Source organism: Homo sapiens, chromosome 9 (genome assembly GCF_000001405.40).
Source record: "Homo sapiens chromosome 9, GRCh38.p14 Primary Assembly".
Taxonomy (NCBI): domain Eukaryota; kingdom Metazoa; phylum Chordata; class Mammalia; order Primates; family Hominidae; genus Homo; species Homo sapiens.
Genome location: NC_000009.12, coordinates 90,603,761 through 90,616,926, shown reverse-complemented (window position 1 = coordinate 90,616,926; position 13,166 = coordinate 90,603,761). Strand labels below are relative to the sequence as shown.

Here is a 13,166-nt window from a genome sequence, read left to right as displayed (position 1 = left end):
ACAGCATCTGCGAAGTGGGGCGTAATGTATACTTTCCTATGCTTGTCCCCCCTCTAATGCTGTGAGTGCTGTTGGGTAAGCACTGAGTTTGCACAGTATCTAGAAGACATTTTATAAATGCTTGTGAAATAAATGAATGGTTCTGACATGGAAGAAAATAGTTTACAATTTTTTTTTTTTTTTTTTTTTTGTGATGGAGTCTTGCTCTGTCACCCAGGCTGGAGTGCGGTGGCATGATCTCAGCTCACTGCCACCTCCACCTCCCAGGTTCAAGTGATTCTCTACAGTCTGGGTTTTTGTTAGTGAGTTGAAGATCACTATGGAGTTATTGGCCCAGGCCTATCTCATAAATGCACATTGAACTTTATACCCCTTCAACTTTCTGACTCCTGTTCATCTTTCAGATTCATGCTTCCATGCCACCTCCTTAGTGAAATTCTTCCTGATATCTCAAATTTCATGAAATTCCTTCAGACCTCTCTTTTGCAGCACTTGCTATGATATAATTTATTAAATATTTATGAAGTTATCTTTTGGATTGATGTCTGCTTTACTTGATTCTGAGTTTCATGAGAATAGAGATCCTTCCTTAAGTCTGTCCTCTGCACAGTTGTTTTCTGGCCGCTTGTCCACAGCCTGGTTTAGTGGAAGCTCAGTGGATATTTCTCTGGGTAAATGAATAATTGTAGCCATGAATACTTTATTTTATGTTTAGCATTTACTTCCTATGTGTTCGTTGCCAGTTTAATAATGGAGACACCTTAACATAGCTGACCACATATTCAGCAAACTCATAAAGAGTGTATGTGCTGTGAACCAAGAGATCTTTGAGATACATTGGGATGCAGAACTTGTTAAGATATGTTCTCTTCCAGCTAGATGCTTATGCTCTAGTCTGGAGCTACATAACCATAATACAAGGCAAAACGAGTGAGGAAACTCCCTTCTAAGCAAAAAGAGAGCTTCATTCTGAGGATGTAGAAAGAAGCTTAAGATTAGATTCCATTGTCCATTTTCTATGGTTTAAATGTGTTCCCTAAAAGTGCATATGTTAGAAATGTAATCCTCAAATGTGTATGTTCATGGTATTTGGAAGTGGGGCTTTTAGGAATAGATGAGGTCATGAGGAGGCTGGGCAATGCCTGTCATGGCATCAGTGGCTTTATAAGACAAGGAGAGAGACCCTAGCTGACATGCTTGCTCTGTCTTATCATGCCATGCCCTCCAGTATGTTATGAGGCAACAAAAGGCTCTCACCAGATCCAGCTTCTTCATATTGGACTTACCATCCTCCAGAACTGTAAGAAGTAGATTGCTTTTAAAATTATTTCATCTGAGGTATTCTGTTATAGTGACAGAAAACAAACTAAGACACGATTGAGTTTTTTTAAAAAAATTGTGGAAAAATTTATCACAATGCTTCACCCTTGAATTAATCATAATTATCTCATAAGCATTTAATAAACTTCACCAAACTCCTAAGCAGACTCTTCTGCCATCTTTTGGTGTTAATGAACTTCCTAACAGTCTTTTATATTTTCTGTTAGCATTGATGTTTCCTTAGCTTCTTGGAGGGTTTGGGATTCCAAAGTGCATGCAAGAACAGCTGAGTATTGAATCGAGCAGATTTGTAGGCAGACGCATGAGGCAAAATGAGAAGGTGGAATACCTCAGTCCAGGGCTTTGACCTGATGTTCTGTCTGTCAGGAGAACATATTCACTGCACAAATGCATTTCCTTCCATTGGTAGTTATGTTTAATATTTTTACTGGACTCTAAAACTTATTTGCTTCAGTAAAGCTTTTTATTGTTTTTCCAAAGTTGCCCTAAAACTAGAAAGGTGAAAAGTCAGCACAATGCCTGCTTGCTGAGAAGAATGAATTCCATGCTTCACATTACCATGTTACTTATCAACTTCAGTTTTAAAAATGTATCCAAATTGTGTAATTCTCTATTTTGTTTGGTGTTATATGTCCTTCCTTACCGAAGAAGGTACAGAATGAAAAAATTTTGATAGATTGTAAATTAAGAAGGCACATCTACACATCCCTGAATAAAAATAAATATTAAACTAGGGGTGAAGTTTGTGATGAAGAGTTGCTGCATTCTCCTCATTTTTAATGACCCTTAAAAAGTAGTTTATGCTACTATCCTGGTAATACCTGATTCCTTATGTTTCTTAAAAATAAAGCTTATATAATCATCTTAATTTTGATGAATGAAATGACTATCCACACTTATTAGTTAACTCTTCATACTTAATGGAGACAATCTATACTATGGCCTGAGTAACGCCCAAGTCACTGGGACCAGCTCTGTCTACAGACAGCTTATGGGATGGGCATTGACATCCACAATGCTTTGGTTGTATCCTAGCCTTCCCTCTTATTGCTGTGTAACATCAGAGACATTCCATTCCCGATCTCTTCCTTGTTTCCAGTTTCATCATTGTACAACAGAGCTAATGGCACCAACTCCTGCAGAGTGGTGAGGATTTCATGAGTTAATATAAACACTGAATAAATATTAGAACATCCTTTTCCCTCATTCATCTCCCTCTCCCAGTATTTCTCACACACACACACACACACACACACACACACACACACACACACACACATTATGATGACCAGTATATTGGGTACTCAGTACTTCAGGTAAAACAGCAAAGATATGCTGCTGTTGATGATGGTGATGTGTGTGTGCATATGTGTGTTTGTGTTTTTACGGGGGTAGTTAATTTATCTTCTCATTGCCTTTCCTTGGTGCTGTCTCTCGGGCTCACTTTGCATCTTTTACCTGGGCTTAGGGCCTATGTGGGAGCAAAGATGCTCATTGTCATGGTCCAATAAAGAGAAACAGATGGGCTCCAGTGAGCCCCTGAGTAGATCGTCTGTCCTTTTGAAAACGGCGGATTGACCAAATTTATTGGATTTAGAATTGTCGCTATTTTAAATGTTATCACCTCCCATTTTTAAGCTATCAAAAGAGGGTAGAGCTATCCTTATTAATGTTTTTATATTTTAATTATTAATTCTTTCAAACATCTGGTTCCTTTGCTAGGTGCGTCCTGGCTGAGAGTTGGAGCTCTCCAGCAACATGCCTGAGCAGAGTAACGATTACCGGGTGGCCGTGTTTGGGGCTGGCGGTGTTGGCAAGAGCTCCCTGGTGTTGAGGTTTGTGAAAGGCACATTCCGGGAGAGCTACATCCCGACGGTGGAAGACACCTACCGGCAAGTGATCAGCTGTGACAAGAGCATATGCACATTGCAGATCACCGACACGACGGGGAGCCACCAGTTCCCGGCCATGCAGCGGCTGTCCATCTCCAAAGGGCACGCCTTCATCCTGGTGTACTCCATTACCAGCCGACAGTCCTTGGAGGAGCTCAAGCCCATCTACGAACAAATCTGCGAGATCAAAGGGGACGTGGAGAGCATCCCCATCATGCTGGTGGGGAACAAGTGTGATGAGAGCCCCAGCCGCGAGGTGCAGAGCAGCGAGGCGGAGGCCTTGGCCCGCACATGGAAGTGTGCCTTCATGGAGACCTCAGCCAAGCTCAACCATAACGTGAAGGAGCTTTTCCAGGAGCTGCTCAACCTGGAGAAGCGCAGGACCGTGAGTCTCCAGATCGACGGGAAAAAGAGCAAGCAGCAGAAAAGGAAAGAGAAGCTCAAAGGCAAGTGCGTGATCATGTGAAGGCCCTTCCTGCGGGAGGAGCAGCTGTGTGTCCCCGGCACCTCACTCCCCCAAAATGACACCCACCGTCGTCAGGGTAGCATGTATAATGCCCACGTGTTAAACATTGCATTTAATCGAGATGCGTCCTATTGTCCTTAAGAGGGCGTTTCACACCACCAACAGTAAGCCACCCACTCTGGAGTCACAGAATCTGCCAGGCGGTTCAAGTGAAAACCAACACACTCAGCATCCCTGGGAACTGAGAGGTGCCAGCAATTGCTGAAGGTGGCGATGAACACCCGAAGGTGGGAGGGAGGACTGGTACCCACAAAGCAACATGTACCGAGAGGACTAAATGTCATCTACGTGCATGTGAGAGCGTGTTAACCTAGAGTTACCTGCACCAACCCCAGACAGAAGCCAATCACATCTTTGGGGGAGGGGAGGGGCAGGAAGAGGTGAGAAGATCAGATGGTCCAAAGTGGACCACACTTGGTCCATTTTACACTTTTTTAAAGGGGATTAAAAAACACAGCCTCTCCCCCAAAGGGTGTCCGTTCTTAATTCCCACCTGGCCTGTTAGGAGCCTTGCTACCCTGAGGGGATGTGTTCACCTTACCTAGACCTAGTTAGGAAGTATCATTTTAAGCTATTAGAGTATTTATCTTCATGTGCAGGGATAAGTGCACTAACAGTGTGCTGCTCTGTCGGAAGTTCTTCAGTTTTTAAGTGAGGATATCGTGACAGTATTAAAACATCGCAATAATGTTCCTGTGTGTTATACATCGAGGGTTTTAGAAATGTGATTTTCTTCTTTTGACCTGTGAGGAGTATAACTTCTTTCAGCCCTCAGATTTTAAATACAAGCAAATAAACTCACTATTTTTAGACGTTTTTTTCCTCCAAGGTGGTTTTCTTCTCTTAAATAACTCGATCTGTACCCAGCTGGGTAGCAGCCAGCAAAGGCCATCAGACAACCAGAAGCACATCCATTTTTGTAGTGTCACAAACATGTATATGCCACACTTTGCACCTTAATGAAATACTTTGAAACAGAAGTTATTCACTGTGTTTTTGATGATCTATCTGTATTGGAAATATGTTCCTGGAAAATGCATTTAAATAATAGTAAATTCTCTTGCATGTTCCATTATACGTGTCTTCTAAGAGCTGTTCAATACAGTATTCACTCTAGAAACAATTATCTTTTTCTCTTAATGATTTTGTGTGCATCTTTAATCTTTCAAGCCAAATTACAGCTATTTCAGGTTTCCTGTGTTAGCTTGGGGATAGGATGGTGGCTGGAGACAGGCAGGCTTCTCTGCCCTGGGAAGAGCCCACTCAGCTTAATTGCTCTGCCATCGTAGAGCCTGGTTGGACTTGGCTTCCTGAAAACTCCCACTGATAGTGCCTGTTAGATCTCCTGTTTGTTTCAGTTGGCAGAACATTTACTGGCCCCAACTGTGGCATCATCCTCTCAGCAGTCTTCCTGTCACCCGCCTGGCAGGCAGAAGGAGCTGCAGTCCCACGTGGGCCTGCCTGGGGGGGTGGGGGCTGCATGGCTGTTGGGTGGCAGTGTCAGCACAGGGAGGGCTTAAGTTGGGGATGTTTGACCAGGCCACCTCCTGCAACTGCTGTTTCTCCTGTCCCTCCTATGCAGGGCTTGCAGCAGCAGCAGTGTGGCCATCTCCATCCCCCAAAGCACACTTGCTCTCTCAATATGTCCTAGTTTTCTTCAGCCTTTTCTGGTTCAGTTCCCTTGTCCTGATCTCATCCTCTCTGGTCTCCCAATAACTCACCCTTGGGATGTGTTTAGAGCGTGGGAGGTGCCTTTGAGAACTGCTTGACTCCATGATCTCCTAGAACAAAACCGCCCTGACTTTACAGGGGGAACACTCATGCTGAGCTGAGAAAGCAGAGAAGTGGCGTGGGAGCCAGCTGGGGGTGAAGAGCATTTGGGCCAGTCCCGTGGCCCCCTTCAGATTCCTCAAGCAGGATTGTTCTGTTCTAAAAAGCTGTTGCACAGCATTCGCAATGAGATCTTTAGTTGGCGGATTTTCTGGAACATTTGTTTTTCAACTTGTCCCGACATTTTTTTTCTGTTTCTATTCTGAGAGAGAGATGATCAAGTTTTAATTTGGGTATAGGTTAAATGGAAGAAGAAACAGAACTTCATGGCCAAAGTAGACCTATAGATTTTGATTGGGTTCTTTGTTAACAGTAGAATGCGATCTTTGCCACTGACTGTAGTATTAATAAGGTTTTAATGTGAGATATTCCTGCAAACCATCCCATTTCTACTGATTGTAAGTCAGAATTTCTTTTATCCCTTTCAAATCAGTTTCTACATGTTTAAGTGTTCAGGGCTTCATCAGCATGAGAAGTTTGTAATTACTGAAAGTCTGATTTCATTCAGGACACATTTTTTCCTTCATATTTTTTCTGTGAATTTATAGGCTAGGAAGGCTATTGAAGCCTCAATTATGGGTCTTCATTTTGAGATCGTTTTCTATGAGCTGAACTGAGGATATCAATGGTTATCTCAAAATCGTCTTTTAGGAGATCCCCAATTGACTCAGAGTTTGAGGAGTTAGTATCACAGAATTAGATTTTTTTAAAGCATTTGTACGTTTCCATTCCCAAATATGTAGCTGTGGTTCTTGAAAACACATCCTACATTGCATATGGGCATAGCAGTTTTTGACCCAGGCAGAATAAGTTAATATTTAATTAAATATTGCTTTGAAGATGGCGCTCTGGGCATGAGCATGGGGCTCCATGACTTCCCTTCTATCCCCATGAGCCCCTCCTCCATCCAGCGACAAGCCATGGGCATGCATACAATGCAGCAAGACCAACACAAGAGCAATATTGAATTGTTCATTCTATCTAAAATTACATGTATATAAAATATATAATTTATCTTCCTGCATTTTTGAAGTATAAAGTCATAAATTGTACATATCTGTAAGCTAGTATATTTGTTTCACTGTTTGTAATATTTAAGAAATGCTCATTCTTTGTAGAACAAAAATGTATTAAATATTTTAAAAATTGCTCTGTGATACTTAATTTTTTTCCCCAAAATTTGTAATGTGTTGCTTCTACATAAGTTCTCTGGAAATATCTACAACTAATAGGACACATGTAAATCCTTGAAGACACATCCTGGAATTCATACCCCACAAGGACAGTGTGTATACAAAGTATTTGCAGAGCATGACTTTTATATGTGTGGGATATCAATGTGTATATTTATATTTAAAGTGTATTTATTGTTACAAGTCTATTCTCTATTATATTTTATTTACTCTGCGGTTATAAAAATCACCCTTGCATACAAGTTTCTAGTTGCCAGTGATGTTCTGGAAATAATGGGAGATATTACAATAAAGCTACAGTTATGACACCCTGGCTGGAAGGTGGTGCTATTTCTTAAGGGGTTAGCTGGTCTAGGATGACCTTGACTTGGTGACCCCTCAGCGGCTGTTATGTGCTTATGACCACAATAGGAGGATATCAGGCTCTGTGCAGAACTAGCAATAGGCAACAATAACTCACCCTGGGGTGTCCCGTGAAACTTTCCCATTGCTCCCTGTCTTTGGGTGGAAATGAAGCAGAAGATCCAGACAGGTTAAGGTGAGAGAGGGAAGGAGTAGGGCAGGGCCTTACTTGTGTCAAAATAGAAGAAGTGAAGACAAACTCCCTTCTCTTTTTTTTTAATCCTGCTTTCCTCCACAACCCCAGGCTATTAAATTGTAAACCAAATATAAAATTCTAAGCCCCCCAACTGACTGATGGATGCTTCCCTTGGCCAAGGGCATTCCAAAGTTAACTCAAAAACTAGTTCAGGCCATGATGGGAAGTGGGGATCAGACATGCCTCATTATATCCTACTCCTCTTGGAATTCAGGCACAACTGACCAGCATTAACATTAAAACATCTGAAGAATGATAGACTGTTTGGGTCTGGTAGGAGGAATTTCCTTCTATTGATTCTTTCTGCATAATAGGAACCTTGGTTTCCATAAGCCCTTATCTTAATCCAGACATTCCCTTCTACTGATTCCAGTCTTTAGATAATAATCTAACTCTTTCAACCAATTGCCAATTAGAAAATTCTTGAATCTACCTATGACCTGGAAGCCCCCACTTTGAGTTATCCCACCTTTCTGGACCAAACCAGTGTACATCTTACATGTATTGATTGATGTCTTATGTCTTGCTAAAATGTATAAAATGAAGCTGTAGCCAGATCACCTTGGGCACATGTTCTCAGGATCTCCTGGGGTTGTGTCTAGGATCATCAGTCACTCATATTAGGCTCAGAATAAATGTCTTCAAAAATTTTATAGAGTGATTCTTTTCATTGACAAAATGATGGTGTTTTAAGTCTGGGACAAGCCAATGCCTGAGACATGGAGTTGCAGCAGAGCAAGAGGTTTAATTGTAGGGTCACCCAGTGAGGAGATAGATAGGAGGAAACCTCAAATCCATCTCCCAGAGGGCTGTGGGGCTAGTGATTTTAAGGGTTTTGGAGTGGGCCACAGCATGAAGTGTGGAAATCATTGATTGGTCAAAGAGTTTGGGGTGAAGTCGTGGGATGAGGATGAAGAAGCTGCAATCTCATGCTGATTCCGTCCTTCTGTGGGGTCTTCAAATTGGGTGCTGGAATTTGGGGGCTGAAAAAATCTTAAGTGATCCTTAAACAAAAGCCTTATGATTCTAATGTCAGAGGTCCTGTCTATGGGAACAACAGGGATGCAGATCAATTCTTAAACCATCTTATAACCTTAATGCCAGAAATCTTATCTACAGGAACGAAGAGATACAAATGGTCAGGATCTAGTGCTACGTGACTTTTAGCAACAAGGAAGTGGGCCAAAGTGCAGCCTGATTAATGTTTAATTATTATTCTATTTCTATCCAGAACCTGGCATGCCATTCTTGTCAACCCTGTGGGGACAGTTTCTGCCCTAGCATTGTTGCTGAGTACTGCTTCTGTTTGGTCTTTATTTCTCTTTTTCCACACTAATTGTGAAATAAAGCTTAATTTTGATGATGCAGGAAAAATCCATCAAACACTAAAAACGAAATCCTCACTCTGCCACGGAATGGCTAAGTGACACTGGGGAGGTTCTTGCCCTCTTAGTGCTTCTGCAAAATGGGAATGATTAACGTCTGCAGGGTGGTGGCCCTGAGGGTTAATTTAATGATAAGCACAAAGCACAGAGCTGGCTTGTCATATATTGAGCTTTCAGAGGAAATATACAAAAATCTGCTGACTATGTAGCATTCTATCTGGAAGGTTGGCGGCAAAGTGAAAATCAAACTACCCAAGTACAAAAACCACCAGAAACTTCCGCTTCTTCCAGCCTCTTTATCAACAGCTTTCCAGGTCTTGCTGTCTGCATGCCCCTCCCTACTCCAACCCTCCGCCCAGCTTCAGGTCATTATTGCAACATTAGTCAGGGCTCCAATTTACGGAGATAATGACAATCAGCCGACCCTATTAGGTATCATTAAAGGGTATTCTGGTGCTTATCAAACTTTAATGTGCAAATGAAGTACTTCAGGGTCTTGTGATTCCATAGCCTCTGAGGCAGCAGGGCCGAGTGGGGCCCGGGAGTCTGCATTTCTATCAGGCTCCTAGGTGATGTCCCTGCTTCTGGTCTGAGACCACACTTTGACATGCAAGGCTGTAATCTACTTGCTCTTTAGTTTTGTTGCACATGAGAATCACTTGGTAAAGGAGTTTTGCAAACTATTGATAACCAGACCGCCTACCCCTCACAGAAACTGTGTGTTAGTAGGTAATTTTGATATGGAATTGAATTTAAGAATCACTGCTGTTAGCCAAGTTTAGTTGGGAATGCCTGCCAGCTCCCTAAGTCTTGGGGCGGGATGGAGATGGGAGTAGGCTTTGTTAAATCAAGTTCCTCTTTAGTGACTTTTTTCAGTCAGTGGTATTGAGGGTCTCGGCTTTCTCTATGTAGAACATTTTCCAAGGTTAGCATTGAGAGAAAATTGTAATTCAGGTATAGAGCATCTGCCCACATGCTCTACCCTGGGGAGTTCCATCAGGGCTACGTGGGCAGTGATGTCCCTGGTTGTGGGTCTGAGCCCCAGCAGCCATCTGGAGCACCCCTCCTTGCCCTCCTGATCTAAGCATGGCACACTCTCTATTCTTAACAACTCCTCAATCTTCTTCAATGCCTGCAAATACTGAAGACAGGTGCCCCTAAAACCATCTTTGCAAAAATTATGACAGTGAGAAAAATCTGACATAGGAAAATTATGAGTGAAAGAAATCTGACCTAAGAGACTCCATCTTGCTTCTAACCTCCAAGCTGCCCTTATTTATTCCTGGGCTTAGGCCAAACTAAATTTGGGATGAATTTATAGTTTAACTTTGAAACATAGATAATAATAGCTCCTCCTTGAGCAAACTTCTCCTTGCCTGGAGACCAGACTTTTGCAAAACTAACAAATTAACCACAAGATTAGAAATTATTATTATTATTATTATTATTATTATTATTATTATTATTATTATTTGAGACAGAGTCTCGCTCTATTGCCCAGGCTGGAGTGCAATGGCATGATCTTGGCTCACTGCAACCTCTGCCTCCCAGGTTCAAGCAATTCTCCTAACTCAGCCTACCGATTAGCTGGGATTATAGGCAAGCACCACCACACCCGGATAATTTTTTTATTTTTAGTAGAGTCAGGGTTTCACCATGTTGGCCAGGCTGGTCTCGAACTCCTGACCTCAGGTGATCCACCCACCTCAGCCTCCCAAAGTGCCAGAAGATTAGAAATTATTATGGCTCAGAAATCATGCAGCCAAAGGCCACAAGATTTCTAACCTCTCCAATTTTTCCTATATATAATAATTCTACTGTAAAACCTAAGATTGATGTTCAAGATATTTTTCAGACCCTGCATTCCCATGGACCAGCTGGTGCCACCCAGACTGGTAAACTGGCTCATCTGGTCTTGTGGACCAGCGCAAGAGGACAGCCTTGACTCCCTGTAATGCCATTCCTAACCCAACGCATGAGTACTTCCCATTCTCCAGCACCCTGTCCACCAAACTACCTTTTAAAAACCATACCCTCTGAATTTTCAGGGAGGCTCATTTGAGGAATAATAAAACCTCCAGTCTACCGCTTAGCCATCTCTATGTGTATTAAGCTCTTTCTCTATTGCAACTGCCCTCCCTTGATAAATCGGCTGTCCCTGGGCAGAGGGCAAGATGAACCTGTCAGGAGGTTATGCCCCCATCAATTCTGCCTTGGCTTTGCCGACTTGCTGTTGCCCCAGATACTTTGAATGTGGGGTCCGTGGCCGCAGTTCCTTGCATTCAGCACTCCATGGCTGCTGCTGCAGCCACATCCACAGGATTCCTTTAACCCACGGCACTGGCTCTGCCCTGCCAAGGTTGCTGCTTCAGATCTGGGCATGAACTCTCATGCCTTCACTTTTTCACATCTCTGGATTGTCCTCATTCACTTTTCCATTTCCATTTACCTTTCTTAACTACAAGGAGTCTTTGCCTATCCTAGTCTATCACAAGTCACTGAGGGGCCCGAAGAGGCAGGCATCTGCCTAAGACATTTTAACATAAATTCTATTGTCACAATGATAATAATTATCATTATTGTTGCTATTATTTGTTTGCTCTTCTAACTCCTCACAGTCTGCCTCAAACAACATGGAGTTAGCTTAGGTGTAGGAAAACAGAGGAACCCACCATACTCCAACTTAACTTCTATAAGGAGAGATGGGGAGCTCAGAAAAAAAACCTAGTGGAGATAGAACTGTTTGTCATGAATGTAAGATGAAAGTTACGCAGTTTCTTTGTTAGGGGGCAACACAGTAGATGTGAAATGTGTTATTTGCCCTTGCCAAAAATCAAGACTATATCTTTTGCAGTCCTTTTAATAAAAAGTACACATTAGCTTTCAAGAAGTACCTCTCCAAATGTTCACGTGCGCACACACGCACACACACACGACATGCACACACCCCAACAGAAATAAAACAGCCCCCGAAGTTAGATACTACAAAATATCTCAAATATCCCCATTTCAATCTTAGCATAAGGATAAGGAACTCAGAGTGGGCTGGAGAATGGGCTTTAAGATATCATTGTCACTGTAAAACTGGCAACACATAATTACAGAGTGAATGTGTCAAAATGTACTGCTTTGATTATGTTATTTCCTCTGCTTGGAAATCCCTTCTTTCTGTCTCCCTGTCCATCCCTGCATATGAACATCTTTCCTATACTAAGGCTGCCCTCAGATGGCCCCCTCTATGCTTTTCCCAGTCATTTAAGTCAAAAAAAAGGATTTTCTCCCTCTTTGAAATGTTTCTTGGGTCTTGCTTTCTTGACCTTTCTGGCTTGTAGGACGTTTTGTTATACAGAAATGATTTCTTCATAATTCTGACTTGTTTGAAATTTAACCCAAGTTCATTTTTTTTTTTTTTTTGAGATGGAGTCTCACTCTGTCGCCCAGGCTGGAGTGCAGTGGCGCGATCTCGGCTCACTGCAAGCTCCACCTCCCGGGTTCATGCCGTTCTCCTGCCTCAGCCTCCCGAGTAGCTGGGACTACAGGTGCCCACCACCATGCCTGGCTAATTTTTTGTATTTTTAGTGGAGATGGGGTTTCACTGTGTTAGCCAGGATGGTCTCAATCTCCTGACCTCGTGATCCGCCTGCCTCGGCCTCCCAAAGTGCTGAGATTACAGGCGTGAGCCATAGCGCCCGGCCCCCAAGTTCATTATTGAACCCTCTCAGCAACCTGAACTATGCTTTGGACCAATAAGTATCCCATGCACATTTGCTAGATTGAGCAGCAAAACCCACCTGACTGCTCACGGTGATAATCACCTGTGCAGTTCTCTGGGTCTTCCCATTCTTCCCCATTCTGGGCACAGAGTAAGATTGCACTTCCTGGCCCTCTTCTTGGTGAGATTTGACCATTTCTGCCATGGAGTTGTGAGTGAAGGAGGCCCCTGATTTTAGGCTGGAGCATTTCATTGCCCTCTCCCCAAGGAACAGGCAGTGTTCCAGAGAGGGGTCGCTCTCCTGACTTGCTTTTCAGAGTGAGGGCAAGGCTGAGATGGGAGCAGAGGTCCCTGCTAACCTGCGATAGATTTAAAGTCTGTGGGAGAAATAAACCTTTGTTGTTTTAAGCCTTCAAGATTCTGGAGTTGTTTGTTACTGGGGCGTAACCCAACCCATCTTGACTAATGTGTTACCTCTGTTTATAGTCTCAGAGATTAGCATTTCCTTCTTGTCAACTTTTTCCTTCTAAGATTCAAATGAGAAGTTGCTAAAATCTGTACAATGTAAATAAATACAGTACAATGGAGGTTGAAGTTCTTAAGAAATTTAAGAAATGCCAGAAACTCATAAAGTGTTTTTTTCCCCATTCCTTTTAGCAGGTTATAAAAAAGAATATTGTCAAATTTAG

The 13,166-nt window shown here is 42.5% G+C and overlaps 1 protein-coding gene across 1 annotated transcript in view, besides 2 other annotated features; it reads left to right on the top strand.

Moving 5' to 3' along the window:
* The window catches only part of DIRAS2 (DIRAS family GTPase 2), a 32,993-nt gene extending 25,898 nt beyond the window's left edge, over positions 1–7,095 (top strand). The window contains exon 2 of the mRNA NM_017594.5: positions 3,064–7,095. Within this exon, the coding sequence (NP_060064.2) occupies positions 3,100–3,699 (600 nt within the window). The 5' untranslated portion in view covers positions 3,064–3,099 and the 3' untranslated portion in view covers positions 3,700–7,095. The remainder of the gene's footprint in view (positions 1–3,063) is intronic.
* Positions 2,950–3,450: an enhancer, noted in NCBI's record as "NANOG-H3K4me1 hESC enhancer chr9:93375759-93376259 (GRCh37/hg19 assembly coordinates)". NCBI's record gives its function as "activates a minimal SCP1, AML or CMV promoter by ChIP-STARR-seq in naive H9 embryonic stem cells {active_cell/tissue: H9 hESC(naive)}" and the evidence as "EXISTENCE:reporter gene assay evidence [ECO:0000049][PMID:30033119]".
* Positions 3,451–3,951: an enhancer, noted in NCBI's record as "NANOG-H3K4me1 hESC enhancer chr9:93375258-93375758 (GRCh37/hg19 assembly coordinates)". NCBI's record gives its function as "activates a minimal SCP1, AML or CMV promoter by ChIP-STARR-seq in primed H9 embryonic stem cells {active_cell/tissue: H9 hESC(primed)}" and the evidence as "EXISTENCE:reporter gene assay evidence [ECO:0000049][PMID:30033119]".
* Positions 7,096–13,166: the final 6,071 nt, after the last annotated feature.